The following is a 3,543-nucleotide window of genomic DNA, read 5'->3' as shown; positions in this document are numbered from 1 at the left end:
TGGTAGCTGGCTTCCCCAGGAATGAGTTATCCAAGATATAATAAGGCCCAAGTCACAATGCCTTCTATGACTGGTCCTGGAAAACACAGGTTGTTGCTTCTGACACATTCTATTCATCAAAGGCAAGTGGCTAAGAACAGTCCACACTTAAGGGGAAGAAGATCAGTCTCCAATTTTTGAGGGGAGAAGTATAAAATAATTTGTGAACAAAATTTTAAAACCATCACATTGAGTGACTGAACAGGCTGCATTTTCTGGATGAGGCAACTGCAAGGCTGTGGAGCCTCTGTCAGCCTGGGTTCTTGAGTGACCTGGTGGAGCAGAGGGCCCTTTGCTGAACTGAGATGGATATGAAGCACAAGAAAGAAATAAACCTTCATTGTATCAAGTCACTGGAATTTTACCTACACATCCTGACTAGTAGTCATTTTAAGACATAAACATAAATAAAATCACACTGATAATATGTAAATGTGGTTACAAAATTATGAATTCTCTGTGTTTAAATGATTTTTATTTGAATATCATTCAAAAAGTTTCATTTTTTACACTCACATAGGGCTTCAGTAATTCTATGAGATACTAATAATCACAGCAGATCCCAAACCAGGTGCATACCATTTCAGGAGAGAAGAAGTTGCAGATTCTGGTCCAGGATAAGTCTGTTTGTTTAAAGTGATCCAAACCAAACCACTGATTGAGTGCCTTTTGATAATACAGTTCTATTTGTTACATTTGGACTTTTAAGCCTCTGCCTTTCAAAAGCTAAATTCAAAGATTTAATTTTTTAAAACTTGGTGTCTTTCCCAGAAATGATGTATTGTAAAAAGTTTCTTATGGCTAGCTGGCAGTACCTAAACTATTGTCCTGTCATTATGATGAATTGGCCTAGTCTATAAATATTAATTGTAAACTTATGCATGCCTTATCAATATTACATTATAATTAGTGGGGTCATCTTGAGGTTCCATCTACTAAGAGATGAGAGATGGAGTGTGTGCAATGTTTAGCTAATTAATCATCTTAGAACACTGTGAAATTCCCTGTTTAATTGGTTGCTGTGTAGGATCACGAGAGCAATCAATTGTTTGATTCCCTATACTATGCATGTTTTGGGGGATTTTAGTTTATTTATAGTTCCTTGTGTTTATTCTTTCTTATGCACAGAGATAGTGAGAAAGATAACTCTATACTTTGTAAATGGATATATGCTCAATAGAAAAATGTAAATACAAACATAAGTACTTTTCTATTTATTAAAGCAATAAAACTAAACAAATCCTAACATGTGCATTCTTTTGCACACATTATATTAACTTTGCTTTTTCAAATATTGTTGTAAATCCATGATCTTTCACAAAATCAACTTGTTTCAGCTAACTTTGAGTATTATTTTATTTTTCATGCTCTGCTTGGTCGATGGGACCCTTCAAACTGATACCTTTGTCCTTTCAACAGCAACTTACTGTCATTTTTAAAACAGTCTTGTTTTCTGGCATTGAGGTTGTCCATACTCAATATTTTTTCTGTCCTGAGATTTGGGACCAAGTGTCTTAATTCCTTTTGGTAGAAAAAGAATCAAATCTGGAACCAGAGGCACACAGGAGCTCTGGCAGATGCTGAAGCCACCTAGCCTATATCCTTTCTCACCTTCTGTGATGGTTAATTTTTTGTGTCAACTTGACTGGGCCACAGGGTGCCCAGATATTTGGTCAAACATTATTCTGGATATTTCTGGATGACATTAGTATTTGAATGGGTAGACTGAATAAAGTAGATTGCCCTCCCTATTGCGGGTGGACCCCATCCAAACATTTGAAGACCTGAATACAACAGAAAGACTGACCCTCCCGAGTGTAAGAGGGAACTCCTTTTCCCTGACTGCCCTGAGCTGAGACATAGGTCCTCTCCTTTGGACTTCAACAGAAACATCAGCTCTTCCTAGATCTTGAGCCTACTGGCCTTTGGACTGGAACTACATTCAGTCCCTTGGTTCTCAGGCCTTTGATTTCAAACTGGAACTACACCACCAGCTCTCCTGAGACTCCAGTTTGCCAACTGCAGATCCTGGGACTTCTCAGTCTTCATAATTGTGTGAGCCCCTTTCATATCATAAGAAACACTCTCTCTCTCTCTCTCTCTATATATATATATATACACACACACACACACACACATACACATATATATAATACATATATATATATATACACACACACACACACGTATATATATATATATATATATATAGTTGTGTTTCTCTGGACAACCCTGACTAATATGTCTTGCTCCTTATAAGAACTCTGATTGCATGCAGGTGACAATGTGCTCAGCTAGACAGATGTGCCTTCACGGACTCGTGCAGCTGAAGATGGCCCAAGTTGGCATGGTCTAAGCCACATCAACTCTTGCCTAGATCATTGTAGCTGACTTCTAGTTCCTGATCCCGCTTTGCTCCCTAAACCAGTTCTTCTCACAGCATCCAGAGTAATCCTCTCACAGTGTAACCTGATCACATCACTTTTTATGCCCAAGACTCGCCAATGGCTTCCATTCCTACAAAGCGAGAGCAACATCTCTACAGTGGTCTCCAAAGCCTTGTGTGATATGAATACTGAAAGTGTGCCTCAAACATGGAAAGGAATTACATTCTACACCTGTTTCTCCCATGTCCACTTCATTGTTCTTCAGCAATGCAGCAGTGTGTGGATAAAATCTTTCCATTTCCCATTGGATTCACAGTCTTGAGGTATAGTCCTCACATATTACAGTAGACGTGGTACCCATTGACTTGCTCCAGGCCTCTTTATGCTGTCGTCACAGCATGCTGTACCTTGTCCTCCATCTCAGTGTATGACTGTGTCTTGTGTGCTGGTCCTGGGTGCTCTGGCACCTCACCAGAGAACCTCTGACACAGATAGTTACAGGCAAATACTCGTTCTTCTGTTTTACTGTCTTGGATTTCTTCTGTAAAGATTGGGGTAGAAGGTGGGGTACAACATACACAGTGGATACAAATGAGAAAGATTCAACTTAGTACTTATTTATTCACTTCACTTCATCCCACAAATAATTTGAAGGGGCTTATATTTCAGCTTAGTATTAAGAAGAGCTGCCCAGCAAAGACTCCTAATGGAACAGAAAATTTTAGGAGGCAGTGGGTTCGCCATCTCAGCAGGCATTCAAGTACAAACTGAAGGACAGGTCGCTAAGGCTGCTGGAACAAAGTGTTCTGAGAGCAGCCCACTCTGGATGCTCAGTCTGCTTCCTGTCTAGTTTTCCCTGGGATGTTCTCCTCCTTCTGAGCTCCACTGGCTGAGGTAAATGCTGTTCCTTCAGAAATCCTAGAGAAGCCAAGGACCCGTCACCATAGTTATGTTCATCATAGACATAACCATGACAAAAGACAGGAGAGGACCCCCACCTCTCTTTTCAGAGGTTCATCTTCTGACAGCGATGATACAGAGGGGAGGGAAGCTGGGGAAATGCACCACCTGATTACATGACATCAGCATCAGGGGATGGATTAGAAGTTAGGCTGCT

This window comes from Homo sapiens, chromosome 10 (genome assembly GCF_000001405.40).
Source record: "Homo sapiens chromosome 10, GRCh38.p14 Primary Assembly".
NCBI lineage: Eukaryota > Metazoa > Chordata > Mammalia > Primates > Hominidae > Homo > Homo sapiens.
The sequence above is the reverse complement of the archived record's forward strand: the minus strand, read 5'-3'. Positions refer to the sequence as shown.